The 15,916-nt window shown below is 43.1% G+C and overlaps 1 protein-coding gene across 3 annotated transcripts in view; it reads left to right on the top strand.

The window, feature by feature from the left end:
- ARHGAP35 (Rho GTPase activating protein 35) overlaps nt 1-15,916 on the top strand; it is a 144,081-nt gene that overhangs the window by 40,616 nt on the left and 87,549 nt on the right. The gene's annotated exons all lie outside the window — the stretch shown is intronic.

Genomic DNA, 15,916 nt, shown 5'->3' on the forward strand with positions numbered 1-15,916 from the left:
GAGCAAGAGTATACATGTGAAGAACGCGTAAGGCTGTGGGGATCCAGGCGATCTAGATTCCCTGGCAGCAGATACGTTGGCTTTCTCAGCTGTTGAATTTGAGTGCCCATTCCAAGGGTAGGCATTGATTGTTATCATTCTGATTATACTTGCATGCACTTAGGTTATCATTAGCCCCTAGAGACTTACCTGTCTCCTTGAAGAACATCATTGTCCAGTGATCCTGCTGACAGATGAGAGCTGTCAAGATAGCTTGGCTGTGAGATGCCATTTAACTAGTTTTTATCTGTGTATGCTTTCCCTCCCCCTGCAAGATTTAATGACCTAGCCAGGAGAGAGTCTAGGCTTCCTGGCTCCTCTCCAAGTGTTCTACCACTAAAATGTTAATATTACCTTTCTCAGAATTCTTCTGAATCACTTGTTGGCACTGTAAGTGGCTTTTTAAACTTTGATTTTGCCATTTTTGAGTCTGTTTGTACTAGGATTTTTTGCTGGAGGAATTTGAGCTGATTTGATTACTTAAAGAAGGCCTTTTCACTTACCTTTGCTTTTTAAAGTTGAGTAGCCTGTGATAGGTGGGAATGTTTCTGCCACCTGACATGTTAGTTGGCAAAGTAGTAGAGGCAGCCTTTAATAAAAGTCACTCTGGAAGAATATTAGTTGGGTACTTAGCATTCTTGGCATTCTTATGGAATGATACAGGTTTATGGCCTTTTTATTAAGTTCTTAAAATCAAATGATCTTTAATTAGAAGCAATCATATATAAAACTTTGTGACTCCAGACAACACTGGCCTTACTGTATTCTACTATGGAGTGGGGTTTGTGCCTGTAGGAATGCAGGTTTGGGTTAGGGGAGCGGAGAAAGGGGTGTGAGAAGGCCATATTGAACACATTGTAGCCTGGTCTGTGCCATCTGCTCCCGGCTGCCTTACTGGTATGGAATGTGGACATACAGCTTTTGAGCCTAGCTGTACCTTGCTTGGCTTTTAGCTCTCATGATTCAACTGGCTGAGCTTAGCTTTCTGTTACAGTCAGTAAGGAAAATGGAGTTGAGCAGCCTGTTTTTTGAACTCAGGTAGTCATGAGGCTTGACAAGCCATGACACATATATTTTAATCGCCACGGCCCCCTCTAATGTTTTAAATAAGACAGTAGAGGAATATTTACATTCAAGGAACAACAAGTTATCACAAAACTCCCCCCAACATACACAGCAAGAAAAATGCCACCTTATTCTATTGTATATGATTCTTCACTGGGCAAAAAGGGCTCTTTATCTGAATGCAATCTATGATGTCCTCAGTGAAGAAAACTAAAGGGTTGGTGTGTATGATATCGCATTTTGGTATGAACAGATTATATATGTTTCTGTGCCCACACCTGTACCCTTGAGGAGCGGTAATAGCCAGAAGGGATCGTGGTGTTAGAGATGGCAAAGCTAAGGCTCTGACAGGCTCTCTTAAGTTAAGGCCTTGACAGTGGGTTTTCTGAGCAGAAAGCAGAAATCACAGATGGATTCAGGGGCCGGGGAGTGGTCTGCGGCATTGGGGAGACACATGCAATAGTGAAGGAACTGGGTTGAGACACCTACTCATCCCCAAACCCTCTCTTCATTCTGCACACAGTAATCATATTAGCTATGGTACAAGTTTCCCATAAGATTTTAACATAGTAAATGCCGTGGGAGTCAGAGTCGGTCTGCTGACAGGGTTTTTATAATGGTGATGTACGTTGTTGTGCATTGATTTTAAGACGATTCAAAAGAAAGTAGCTGCTCTGTGCTCTTCCCAGGGCCATTCAGAGCCAGGGAGTGGGAGGTGAGGCCACGGAGGGAACCACTCAGTGGGTTTATCTTGGGCATTCTGTGCATATGTAACTGAGAAAGGTATGTTGTTACCTAATGTATGCTTTTGATAATTTGGACCAAGAGACATGGTATTCTGAATAGCAGCCAAATATATGAGGTCAAGGTGACTTCCTCTAGCAATTAGGACAGCTGTCATGGAAGAGTAGGCCAGACCTGATTTCCTTCTTAAGTCCGAGGGCTAAACCAGTGATAAGAGATGACTCGTTGATCTTCCTGATATTACTGGCCAAGCACTTTCTAAGGAATGACGATTGATAAGGAAGAACAAACTACTATTTTGGTCTCTTATCTAAAGGAAAATCATGAAGCTAGCACTTTATAGAAAATGCACTTATTCAGTTCCTTGTATGATCACAAATGTTTTCTTAGTTATTTTTGGGCTCCCCAACAGGATATGTTACTTATAGTTTGAAATTCGCCTTTTTTTTTTTCTCTGAAATATATCTTGAAGTGTTGAGTGGTGGCTAGGTGCCATATAGAACATACAAGCAGAATTTTATAGAAGTATACATTTAGTGAGGGGTGGAGATTATTGCTTTAATAAATGGGACTGGCTGGATGTCATTCTTTTTTGTCCCCTTCCCAGTCACTTTGACTCTAGGGTCTTGATTAATGTGATCATCTCTGCAGAGTGTGGAGAGACAGCACTGGGATGGGGGTGGGAAGTGGGCGCAAAGCCTTTCTTAGGGCACAGACAGCTCTGACAGCAGTTTCTGGGACTGCCTTCCCCTCTCCCCTTCAGCTTCCGCATCTGTGACGTGAGGGAGCTGGCTGCCAGCATTCCCAGCTTGGCCTGCCTTCCAGTGGCTTTCATTCAGAGACAGCAGATCATGTTCATCTGGAAGTTTTCTTAGTTGTTCATCTCAAGAAGAATCTTAGGAATTTTTTTTCAAATCAGCCAGTTTTCCTCAGATTTTGCTTCTTCTTTATCTGCCCTGTTCCTTTGGCTAATCTTCTGTCAGCGAGACACAGGGTCATCAGTTTAAGTATGGGAAGGAAATTATGGCCTTGAGCACAGGCAGAAAGCATCTGGCTCCCAGGCGCTTCCTGTGAGCCACCATGAAATTACAAAGACTGGGCCTGACAAGGCCTTTCAAAGGAGCATCTCACACCACCACTGTGTCAGCATTTCCATGATTCCATCGTAAAGCAGTTGTTTTTCCTGATGCTTATTATGACCAGGTTGGAGTTGGCCTTTACATGGGAAGCGTTTATCCAGTGGATGAGAGTGAAACAGCAGGACAGAGGTGGCGGGGGAGAGGGCTCAGATTGCTCTCGGAATTCCCTTCTCCAGCCCGGTCCTGACCAAGCCATTCTTGCTCAGAAGCCTGTGGTTCCTCAGAGGATGAAGTCCAGACTGTCTTTAGCGTGTCAGGACCCTCCACAGACTTGCCCCCAGCGTCTCCCACCATATGTGCCTATGCTCCGCGTTCCTGTTCTCCAGCCAGGGCAGTGCGGGGGAGTGGAGGGACGAGAGCTGGGGGTGGTGTCAGGAGACCTGGGTTCTGGACTGGGGTTCCTGTCTATCTAGCTGAGTTATTTCATTTCTCTCTGTCTCAGTAGTTACTAATCTGGATAGGCTTACCAAATGAGAGGAGGAGAAGAAAAGGTTTAGGAGACAGATTACAAGGCTCTTTCTGATTCTTGTCTCCTGGCCTAGCTTGGAAATTAGAACACCAAATGTCTGAGCATTAAATGGGTTTTTGAACCATGAAGTTTTTTGAACTTCTTAAAAACAAAAACAAACAAAAAGAAAACACTGTAGGTTGGGCGTGGTGGCTCACGCCTATAATCTCAGCACTTTGGGAGGCTGAGGCGGGTGGATCAGGAGATCGAGGCCAGCCTGGCCAAGACTGTGAAACCTCATCTCCACTAAAAGTAGAACTTAAACTTTTTTTTTTTTTTTTTTTAATAGATGGAGTCTCATTCTGTCACCTAGGCTGGAGTGCAGTGGCGCGATCTTGGCTCACTGCCACCTCTGCCGCCGGGGTTCAAGAGACTCTCCTGCCTCAGCCTCCCGAGTAGTTGGGACTACAGGCGCCTGCCACCGCGCCCAGCTAATTTTTGTATTCCACCCCCCCCCCCCAAGACAGAGTCTTACTCTGTCACCCAGGCTGGAGTGCAATGGCGCGATCTCAGCTCACTGCAACCTCCACCTCCCAGGTTCAAACGATTCTGGTGCCTCAGCTTCCTAAGTAGCTGGGACTACAGGCACATGCCACCATGCCTGGCTAATTTTTTTGTATTTTTAGTAGAGACGAGGTTTCACCATGTTGGCCAGGCTGTTCTTGAACCCCTAACCTCACATGATCCGCCCACCTCAGCCTCCCAAAGTGCTGGGATTACAGGCGTGAGCCACTGTGCCCAGCTAATTTTGTGTTTTTAGTAGAGATGGGGTTTCACCATCTTGGCCAGGCTGGTCTTGAACTCCTGACCTTGTGATCCACCTGTCTCAGCCTCCCAAAGTGCTGGGATTACAGGCGTGAGCCACCGTGCCTGGCCACATTTTTTTTTTTTTTTAACGTGGGACACCAACATACAAAACAGATCAAAAGCTAGGTAAGGTGGCTCACACCTGTGACTCCAGCACTTTGGGAGGCCAAGGCAAGAGGATTGCTTGAGCCCAGGAGTTCTACACCAGCCTAGGCTACATAGTGAGATCCTGTCTTTACAAAAAATAAAAATTAAAAAAATTAGGCGGGCATGGTGGCCCAGCTACTTGGGAGGCTTGGTGGGAGGATTGCTTGAGCCCAGGAGATCAAGGCTACAGTGAGCCATGATTGTGCCACTGTACTCCAGCGTGGGTGACAGAGTGAGACCCTGTCTCATAAAAATAAACAGAAACAGATCAAATTGGACTTGCTCTCTTGAGGCTGAAAGGTCTGACATGCCACCTGTTGAGTCTTAAAACCTGCCAGTTCCATCCAGGGCTCCCCAGGGCACTGCTTCTCTGCATTTCTTCTCTCTTGCTATGCAGCCAGGATTAGAGTCACCTGTTTGACATGACCCCAGGCAGGGGCCTAGTGTAGAAGGGGGAGATTGTATAGAAAAGTGTATAAAGTATGTACGATTTGAACAACTATAAAGTGAATACCAATATAACCACTACCCAAGTCCAGAAATAGAACAGAAGCTCCACTTTGTATTTAGTATTTTCCTTGGTTCCATTCGTTCTGTTTCTTAGCTTCTTAGCCTTAGCTTCAGTACAGATGCAGTAGATAAAATAAAAGCCAATGGCTTTTATATCTCCTTAGTCTCAAAGCAGGAATCCAAAACACTGCTTTCAAATACAGATGATAAATATTTGAATAAGAAATAATATTTTGGCTGGGTGCAGTAGGTGACACCTGCAATCCCAGCACTTTGGGAGGCTGAGGTAGGCGGATCACATGAGCCCAGGAGTTCGAGACTAGCCTGGGCACCATGGTAAAACCCCATCTCTACAAAAAATACAGAAGTTAGCCAGGCGCGATGGCACATGCCTGTAGTCCCAGCTACTCTGGCGGCTGAGGTGAGAGGATCACTTGATCCTGGGGAGGTTGAGGCTGCAGTGAGTTGTGATTATATCATACTGGGCTCCAACCTGGGTGATAGAGTGAGACCCTGTCTAAAAAAAAGAATCTTTTTTCTTAATAAAAAATATTAATAATAAGAAATATGTTATAATAAATTTTGTTTGTTTTTGAGACGGAGTCTCGTTCTGTCGCCAGGCTGGAGTGCAGTGGCACGATCTCGGCTCACTGCAAGCTCTGCCTCCCAGGTTCACGCCATTCTCCTGCCTCAGCCTCCCGAGTGGCTGGGACTACAGGCGCCCGCCACCACGCTCGGCTGATTTTATTTTTGTATTTTTGGTAGAGACGGGATTTCACCGTGTTAGCCAGGATGGTCTCGATCTCCTGACCTCGTGATCCGCCCGCCTCGGCCTCCCAGAGTGCTGGGATTACAGGCGTGAGCCACCGCACCCGGCCCCCATTCATTCTGTTTCTTAGCTTCTTTTTTTGTTTGTTTGTTTGTTTGTTTGTTTTTTGAGACGGAGTCTCGCTCTGTCCAGCAGTGGCGCGAACTCGGCTCACTGCAAGCTCCGCCTCCCGGGTTCACGCCATTCTCCTGTCTCAGCCTCCCGAGTAGCTGGGACTACAGGCGCCCACCACTATGACCGGCTAATTTTTTTATTTTTAGTAGAGACGGGGTTTCACCATGTTAGCCAGGATGGTCTCCATCTCCTGACCTCGTGATCCGCCCGCCTCTGCCTCCCAAAGTGCTGGGATTACAGGTGTGAGCCACCGGCCCTTTTTCTTAGCTTCTTAGGTTGGCCTTAGCTTCAGTACAGGTGCATTAGATAAAATAAAAGCCAACCATCCTTTTTAAAAGGATATACATGTGGTATAACTTTTATTACTTGCGATAGCCTGTTTTGGGACTGGCAGTTTACAGAATAATGCAAGTGAGTAGTGAAGAATAATTAGAAATAATGAGCTGAAATCCTCATGTCATCCTAACATGCCATCAGGAAATAGTAAGCCTTACTGTTGGACTCGAAAATAAGCTGACCCATTTTTCCCCATTGACAGAAATGCCTGTTTCTTCAGCACTGTCCTTTGTTGGCAAGGCACATTTGGCTGGACGCAGCCTCCACTCTTCTTGCGTCAGGGACATTTATATAGAGAATGTTCTTTCAAAAAGAACTTTTTTCCTAGTGAGAAGTTTTAAAAAAAAATTAGTAGAGTATAACTGCTTAGAAGCAACTGCTGGAATAATTTTATAGGTTTTACTTACCCTTTTGAAAATCAATGTAAAATTGGTCTTAATGCCAGGAAATTTCAAAGGTAAGACTCGGCTGTTTTTTTGTATCTTGACTTGGTAAGAATCTCAGCTCACTGTGGTAATGGTAATTATGCTGTGATACCTAGGCTTATTGGAGTGCCTCCAATTTCGAATTTGCCTTGGTTTTGTATTCCCTTTGACGTAGAATATTTTTACAGCTTATCAGAATCTTGGTTTTTGTTGTTGTTTTTCTTAATATAGGTAATCCAGAAATTATGCTAAATCAGTGAGAAAGACTTCTTAGCTTTTGATTTTGTCTTTGTTTATATTTGCCTTATACTTTGATCAGATAGCTTAATTAGAATTCCATAGTTACCTGGTAGAAAGCTGCTAAGGATAAAGCTTAAGGAAGTACTTTGGCTAAAAGCGGCTCCCTTTATTCATCAGGGGAATTTGATTTCATCCTGTGGATAACATAGCTTAGAAATTCTGTTTCTTTGGGACCAGCCTGTAGAGTTCTGCAAGCCTGGAAGCATGAGAACTGTGGCGGGGGAAAAATGGGCTACTTGCTGTATTTAGTGTGGGCTGCTAGGATGGTAAGGTAGCAACATAGTTCTGTATTCCCACCCTGGAATTCAGAAGAACCTTTAAGCAGGGATTGCATGGAGGTGGGGAGGACAAATCAAGAGGGGCAGGAGGGGACATTTGCAAAAATTATAAATGGAATGTCAGAGAATCTTTCATAGCTACTCTTTAAAAATTAACTTTAGAGCCAAGAGTGGTGTGGCTCACGCCTGTAATCCCAACACTTTGGGAGGGTGAGGTGGTAGGATCGCTTGAGCACAGAAGTTCAAGACCACCCTGGGTAACATAGTGAGACCTCATCTCTACAAAAAAAATTTTAAAAATTAGCCGGCCGTGGTGGCATGCGCTTGTAGTCCCAGCTACTCAGGAGGTTGAGGTGGCAGAATTGCCTGAGCCTTGAAGATTGAGGCTGCAGTGAGCTGTGATTGCACCACCGCACTCCAGCCTGGGGAACAGACTAAGACCATATTTAAAAAACAAAAACAAAAAAACTTTAGGCCAGATTATTTTCAAAACAGGCATGCGAGTTACTAGCCCTTGAAAGTCTACTGATCCCTTTGTGGTTTCCTTTGGTCTTCTGGAGTGTGCTGCACATTGAATTTATAGAGAGTATAGTGAGAGCTGAATGCGCGTAATCAATATCCAAGAATCTGTTGCATGAGACGACGTGTTTCAAGACCAGATAGGCAAACACTGAAATCAGTCTTTCTAAAGATCCAGATGACCCATTTCAGAGACTGCCTGTACCCAGAGCCCTAGGGACATAGTGAGATTCCATGGCTATGAGGAAATCTTCCTCTCACATTGGGTAGGAGTAAGTGTATGTAGCCTATACTAGTGGGAACAACTACCCCACCAACACTGTTCTGGGCAAATGTCACTTTCTTTTTTCCCCTTGGCAAATCCTGGTTTTGCATACCATCCCCACAATGTTATTATTTTATTTTTATGTTTTTTAGAGGTGGAGTCTTCCTGTGTTGCCCAGGCTAGAGTGAAGTGGCTTTTCATAGATGTGATAATGGTGCACTGCAGCCTTGAACTCCTGGGCTCAGGTGATCTTCCCACCTGAGCCCCCTGAGTAGCTGGGACTACAGGTGTGAGCCACCACACCCAGCTCAATGTTGTTATTTTAATTTGCATTGGACTGAAAGGTAGAAATATAATTGCTATATTCAAATGGAGTTTTCGTTTATGTAAGATGATTAACTCCTTAGACTGTGTTAATTTGTTGGGTGAGTAGTTAAGGTAGCAGTGTACAACAATAAATAACTCAACGGGGTAAAAGATTATTATTATTATTTTGAGATGGTATCTAACTGTCACCCAGGCTACAGTGCAGTGATGTGATCATAGATCACTGTAACCTCAAACTTCTGGGCTCAAGCGATCCTCCTGCCTCACCCTTCCAAGTAGCTGGGACCACAGGCACATGCCACCATGCCTGGTTAATTTTTTATTTTTTTTCTTTTATTTTTTTTGAGACAGAGTCTCACTCTGCTGCCCAGGCTGAAGTACAGAAGTGTGATCTTGGCTCACTGCAACATCTGCCTCCTGGGTTCAAGCCATCCTCCCACCTCAGCCTCCTGAGTAGCTAGGATTACATGGCATGCACCACCTCACCCAGCGAATTTTTTTTTTTTTTTGTATTTTGGGGTTTCACCATGTTGGCCAGGCTGGTCTCAGACTCCTGACCTCAAGTGATCTGCCCACTTTGGCCTCCCAAAGTGCTGGGATTACAGGCGTGAGCCACCACACCTGGCCAATTTTTAAAATTTTTGAGACAGGGTTGCACTCTGTTGCCCAGGCTGGAGTGCAGTGGTGCAGTCTCAGCTCACTGCAACCTCTGCCTCCTGTGCTCAAGTGATCCTCCCACTTCAGCCTCCCCGGTAGCTGGGACAACAGGTATGCATCACCACAGCCAGCTAATTTTTTGTATTTTTTGTAGAGAAAGGGTTTTACCATGTTACCCAGGCTGGTCTTGAACTCCTGAGCTCAAGTGATCCACCCACCTCAGCCTCCCAAAGTGTAGGGATTACAGGTGTGAACCACTATGCCCAGCCTAAATTTTTTGTAGAGAAGGGTTCTCACTGGTCTTGAACTCCTGGTCTCAAGCAGTCCTCCCACCTTGGCCTCCCAAACTGCTGGGATTACAGGTGTGAGCCACTGCGCCCTGCTCGATTATTTTCATATTTGATTCTCAGAGTAAACATACAGCTTGTTGATAATCTGAGCCCCGACTGCCCATCTCATCTTCTGTCTCCCATTCTTGGAAACCCTTTTCCAGTCAATCTGTCCCAAAACATGTTTATTGCTTTCCCATTTTAGCCACTATTATTCATGCCTTTTATGTCACCTCTCCAAACTCTGCCAGTCTTTTAAGAACCAATTCAAATTTTACTTCTGCCTGATGCCTTTCCCACTTACTCCAGATTGAATGGTTTTTCTTTCTCTGGATCCCAGGAAATGGTCTATACCATTTATTGTCTTATGGTTTGGCTATTTTTTTTAAGTGTAAATATTGTATCTCAAGTAAATTATAAGATCCTCGTCAGCAAAGACAGTACCCATTCCTTTTGTTTCATCACATTTTCTTTGCTATGTGAGTATGCATTTGATTTGGGTGATGGACAGTTCAGTCCTTAATTCCAAAGATTATGGTAATACAAAAATGATTAACACTCTGAAATATGCAGAAAGGAGGGAATTTAGCTGCTGTATAACTAGATCTATCAAATGGGGACCTTTCTCTTTTACTCAGCTTTAGAGATTCTGTTGTCCTTGTTGAGTTTGATGGAATCCTTCTGTAAGATACTCTTCATGTGGTAAACAGATGAGTAGAATAGGGGTATTGCTTCAGATTCTGACAAATCATACACAGAAAATGAAAATGCCCTCTATGTCTCACTCAGATTCAAAAAGATTATAATCCCCTTTTACACCTAAATGCCCTAACACATCATTTTTGCATATTACTAATTAAGGTTCTCTAAATTCATCTGGATTTTACAGATGAATGAATTGGATGAATAAGGACCTTGAACTCTATTTCCAACTTTTCTTCTCTAATTTATCTTTATTCAAAAGGAAAAACAAAAACCCTAAGAAAATTTACTTTAGCATTTATTAATATGAAAATGGAAGCATTGGGTTTTAAGAAAATGTTTTGCTTAAATTCAGTGGTTTAATAAGCCAGAGAATAGTGTTCCCTTCTTTTCTTTTTTTTTTTTTTTGAGACGGAATTTCACTCTTGTTGCCCAGGCTGGAGTGCAGTGGCACTCTCTCTGCTCACTGCAACCTCTGCCTCTAGGGTTCTAGCGATTCTCCTGTCTCAGCCTCCCGAGTAGCTAGGATTACTGGCGCCCACCACCATGCCTGGCTAATTTTTGTATTTGTAGTAGAGGCGGAGTTTTACCATGATGGCCAGGCTGGTCTCAAACTCCTGACCTCAGGTGATCCACCTGCCTCGGCCTCCCAAAGTGCTGGGATTACAGGCATGAGTCACCGTGCCCGGCCAGTGTTCTCTTCCTTTTTTTTTTTCTTTTGAGACAGAGTCTTGCTCTGTCGCCCAGGCTGGAGTGCAGTGGCACGATCTCGGCTCACTGCAAGCTGGCCTTCCAGGTTCACGCCATTCTCCTGCCTCAGCCTCCTGAGTAGCTGGGACTACAGGTGCCCACCACCTCGCCCAGCTAATTTTTTGTATTTTTTTTAGTAGAGACAGGATTTCACCATGTTAGCCAGGATGGTCTTGATCTCCTGACTTCGTGATCTGCCCACCTCGGCCTCCCAAAGTGTTGCGATTACAGGCATGAGCCACTGCTCCTGGTCGTGTTCTCTTCTTATTGAAACTTTTATATCCCATCCTTCCTGGCCTATTTGGTAAGTATTAATACATTCCTCTGGAAAACTTCCATGTCTACCTGACATGGAAAGTGCTTCCTACATAGATATATTTCTTGTTCCACCCCTCCCACCCCCCAACTGAGTCTTTTCAAGTGTCTACCAAATGCAAACATTTTAACCAGCTGCTAATGGGAACTCATAGCTTTGAAGACTTAGAAATGTAAGATATTGAGAAATACGAGGTTTTAAGGAGGTTTGAAGAATGCTTTTTTGCTTTCTGTTAGTTACGATGTATATTTCCATTTATTTCCCCTATTGAGATTAAGGAAAATTGTGATAACAAGTATTTTACTTCCTTTGCTTGTAGTTCTGTATGAAATTATTTCCTTACAGTGTTACTAGTTGGTGGTGTTCTGTATGTGATTATTTGAAACTCAGTGTGTTTTCAGAAGTTGTTGAATATTCTCAGGTGGAGATGGTCATTTTTATTATGGATAATGGTGGAAGATTTTTGTCTTAGGGGGCATTCTAGATTACAGAGCACACAAACATTTCCTACTTCGGGGAGAGAGGGATGAGGTTGCTGTGTTGGAAGAGTGATACACACGCTGTGTTGGAAGAGTGATACACACACTTCCAGGCGTATGCTGATAGAGCTGTTGACAGTATGAACTTTCCCAGTCATAGTAAATCTGGGATCACGGTGGCATTTCTAGGTCCTACAAAAATGTGTGCTATCTTGGGAATGTTACCACTTCTTGCCCTGAGTGTTTCATAGAGGTGTTAAAAAAGAAAACACCCTCCTTCTACCTTCCAGTTGCGGCACTCTGGTGGGGACCTTGTGTCTTGGTTAAACAAATCACAAACAACTCTAGATGCTTGGTGACAGTCTGAAGAAGGCACGTAGATATTTGCATTATGTTTTATTACAGCATGTATTTGTGACTGAGAAACCAAAATACTTCTGAAGTATTTTCCTCTCTGAAGTAGTTGACTCTTGGCATAAAATGGGAAACTTTGAAGTCCTGTGTTTCTGTTTTTCTAATGAAATATCTCTGTACAGCTCAAAGATAAAAGTAATTACCATTTTTAAAGGATCCTTCTTTCCCCTCTGTTTTAACTCTTCCATTTAAAAAGGATTAGCACTGGAAAATTATTAGAATGGACATTCAGATTCTGTTGTGTATCTTAGTTGCCTGCTAAGAACACTGGTTCCCATCACATTTAAACTCTAAAGACATTGTGAAGTCTGGATATGCCCGGTCTCCTACTTTCTCTTTCTTTGTGGCCTTCAGATCATTAAATTTAGTGACTCAGCTAATTTTTTTTACCCACCTCTTAGAACTAAGTTGAATGTATTTGTGACCAAGCACTTAAAGTTATTTCCTCTAAACCAAGTGTTTGAGATGTTTTTAGATTTATAACAGTCTTTGTTTACCGTGTAATTCAGTCCAATTGAGGAACTAGTAAAACTGCATTATCTAGACATCAAAGCTAAGAAGAGTATACTTACACCAAGAAACTTATTAGGTTTCTAACAAGTGGAAAGTTACCAGGTGTCCCAAAATTAACCACTTCCATGCCAGCTGATTTTCACTTTTTGTAGCTATTTTAATGATCAGCAGCATTCTGGGTTTAAAAATAACAGTCGTGGCTGGGCACAGTGGCTCGTGCCTATGATCCCAGCACTTTGGGAGGCTGAGGTGTGAGTGGGAGGATTGCTTGAGGCCAGGAGTTTGAGACCAGCCTGGGCAACATAGCAAGACCCCATTTCTAAATAATAATAATAATAATAAATTAGCCAGGCATGATGGCTTGCACCTGTAGTCCCAGCTACTTGGGATGCTGAAGTGGGAGGATCACTTGAGCCCAGGAGTTGGAGGCTGCAGTGAGCTATGATTACAGCACTGCACTCCAGCATGGGTGACAGAGCAAGACTCCATCTCATAAAATAAAATAATCAGTTCTACATTATTCAGAGTTGAGTGTTGCTTTCTTTAGCATCCTTCAAATAACTGAAAATATGCCATTAAAAAATATAACCAAGGTGTTGAATGGATAATACATTTTAGTTCATTTCAAAATAGAGCCAATATCTTTATTTCTTGAGGTTTGAGAGCAGGCTGGTGTTTTGTTCTGTTTTTCCTTCAGATTTCTGTGAAGGGATAAATATTAGACCCACTTTACAGAGAACAGTTGAGTCACAGACAAGGGATGACTTGCCAATTGCATGCAGAGGTCACTTTAAGTAGGACCAGTGCTACCAAGTTGCATTTCAAGATTGGTAACCTTAAGACCTGACAGACCCTGGGGTCAGGAATTGATAGAGAAGGACTCTGTTAGATGAGGACCCATGACTTCCTCAACCCTTCATCAGCACTCCTGTCTGAGGCTCTGTTCAACCTAAGTTTCTTCATGGATTGAAACAAAATTATATGTGCATATTACAGAGTAATTGATTGTGTACAGATGCTTCCTTTAGGTATTTCAGAGGATGTGTGTAAACATGCTTTAGATATTCATAAGCATCTTATAATTTTGTTTATGTAAGCAATCGCCTAGAAAAGTAGAGGATGCGAAAGGTTTGTTTTTCTTTCCCGTGGATACCTTGCTTGTTCCTGCTGAATTCTAGAACATGGCATCTTTAGGAACATGCCATTATCTGGAGGCAATTGCCTACAGTCATTGAGATTTTTCTTTTTAAAATGTAGTTTTTGCATACTACGTCTAGTCACATTTTGTTTCCATAGAGGGTTTGGCTTTCTGGGATATCAGAAGGAAGCTATGGATGTTTGGAAAAGGTCTGTGACCTTTTGAGGTTATCATCACAGGGGACAATTGCACTCTCCCATTCATTGCTCCCTGGTGTCAGTCAGAATAATGCGTGGTGGTCTGACTTCCAGTGGCATTTCTTATGCAATAGGCTTACAAAAACATAATGAGGTCATGGCAAGCCTAGGTTCCTACAGACATAAATGAGATTCAGAAGAAAATTGCTCTGTTCATTTCAGATTCTCCTCTTTGTGATTGTCTTGAGAGAATGTTCATTTGGCTGCAGGTTCAGTGCTTGCACAGTTATATTGGAGTATCTAAGTAAACTGAAGTGCAGCATAAACTGTCGTAGCTGGAAAGTTGCTAAAGACTGTAAGCCATAACAGTTTGTTTAACTTAAGCTGTTAAAACTTTAGGTTCTTTAAGGTGCCATTTTTTTGGCCACATTCTGTGGTTCCCCATAGCCTTCAGGAAGGAATCCAAACTCTTTTTTTTTTTTTTTTTTTTTTTTAAGATGGAGTCTCGCTCTGTCGCACAGGCTGGAGTGCAGTGGCGTGTCTCGGCTCACTGCAAGCTCCACCTCCCGGGTTCACTCCATTCTCCTGTCTCAGCCTCCTGAGTAGCTGGGACTACAGGTGCCCACCTCCACACCCAGCTAATTTGTTGTACTTTCAGTGGAGACGGGGTTTCACCATGTTAGCCAGGATGGTCTTGATCTCCTGACCTCGTGATGCATCCGCCTCGGCCTCCCAAAGTGTTGGAATTACAGGCGTGAGCCACCGCGCCCAGCGAAGGAATCCAAACTCTTAAAGTGGTTTGATCCAGTCCCTGGTTCCTTGCTAATGCATCTTACCCATTCTTTCCCCACACACACTTTGTTCCAGTTGGTTCTCCCAACTGGCAGTGCTTTTTTTTGCGGAGGGAAGGGTCTGTGCACACTCTGTCCCTCTGTCTTAAATGCACTTCATACTTCAGGTCTCACCTGAGATGGAACTTCCTACAGAAAGGCTTTCCCGAATCTGAAAGGCTGGGCTTGGGGACCTTTTAATATGCTGAATCATCATTCAGTTATTGATTCTTTCAGTGAATATTTGTGTCAAGCACTGTGTCATAGGCTGAGGACACAGAATAGAACTAAACAGGGGACAGGCCTCACAGAGCTTGCATTCTTGTCAGGGAAACCATCTCGTATTTACACACTTAATTTTTTTTTATTTGGAAATGATTGAAAACTTGTAAAAATAGCACAAAGGAATATCCTATATGCTTTACCCAGATTCATCTATTTTTTTTTTTCAGATTCATGTGTTGTTAACAATTTACCACCCCATTTGTGTTCTTACTCTTTCTGTATACATAATTTTTCCAGTGGGATCAGTTACGTACATTATGGCCCTTCCCCTCAAAATACTAAGGTGTCAGTTTCCTAAAAGTGGAGACATTTTCACATGATAGATTTTATAGATTTACATTGATAAAATATTTTATTTGGGAGGATTTATCCTTCCTGCATTTCTTTTTTTTTTCAATCTTTTTTTTACTGTGTTAAAATACACAAAACATAAAACTTGCCATTTTAATCATTTTTAACTATACAGTTCAGCGATATTAAATACTTTCATGTTATGCAACTATTTCTGTAACACTTTCCATCTTGTAAAACTGAAACTCTGTACCCATTAAGCAGTAACTTTTCATTCCCACTTTCCCCAGCCCCTGACAACCACTGTTCTACTTTCTGTCTCTATGAGTTTGACTACTCTTAAGTACTGCATATAAGTGGAATCATATAGTATTTGTCTTTTTGTGACTGGCTTATTTCACTTAGCACAATCAAGATTCAGCCATGTTGTCAGAATTTCCTTCCCTTTAAAGGCTGAATAGGCCAGGCGTGATCGCTTACGCCTGTAATCCCAGAACTTTAAGAGGCCAAGGCAGGCAGATCGCCTGAGCCTAGGAGTTTGAAACCAGCCCGGGCAACATGGTGAAACCTCGTCTCTACTAAAAATACAAAAGTTAGCTGGGCACGGTGGCGCATGCCTGTAATCCCAGCTACTCGGGAGGCTGAGGAAGGAGAATCACTTGA

The sequence above is a fragment of the Homo sapiens genome, chromosome 19 (genome assembly GCF_000001405.40).
Source record: "Homo sapiens chromosome 19, GRCh38.p14 Primary Assembly".
Lineage (NCBI taxonomy): Eukaryota > Metazoa > Chordata > Mammalia > Primates > Hominidae > Homo > Homo sapiens.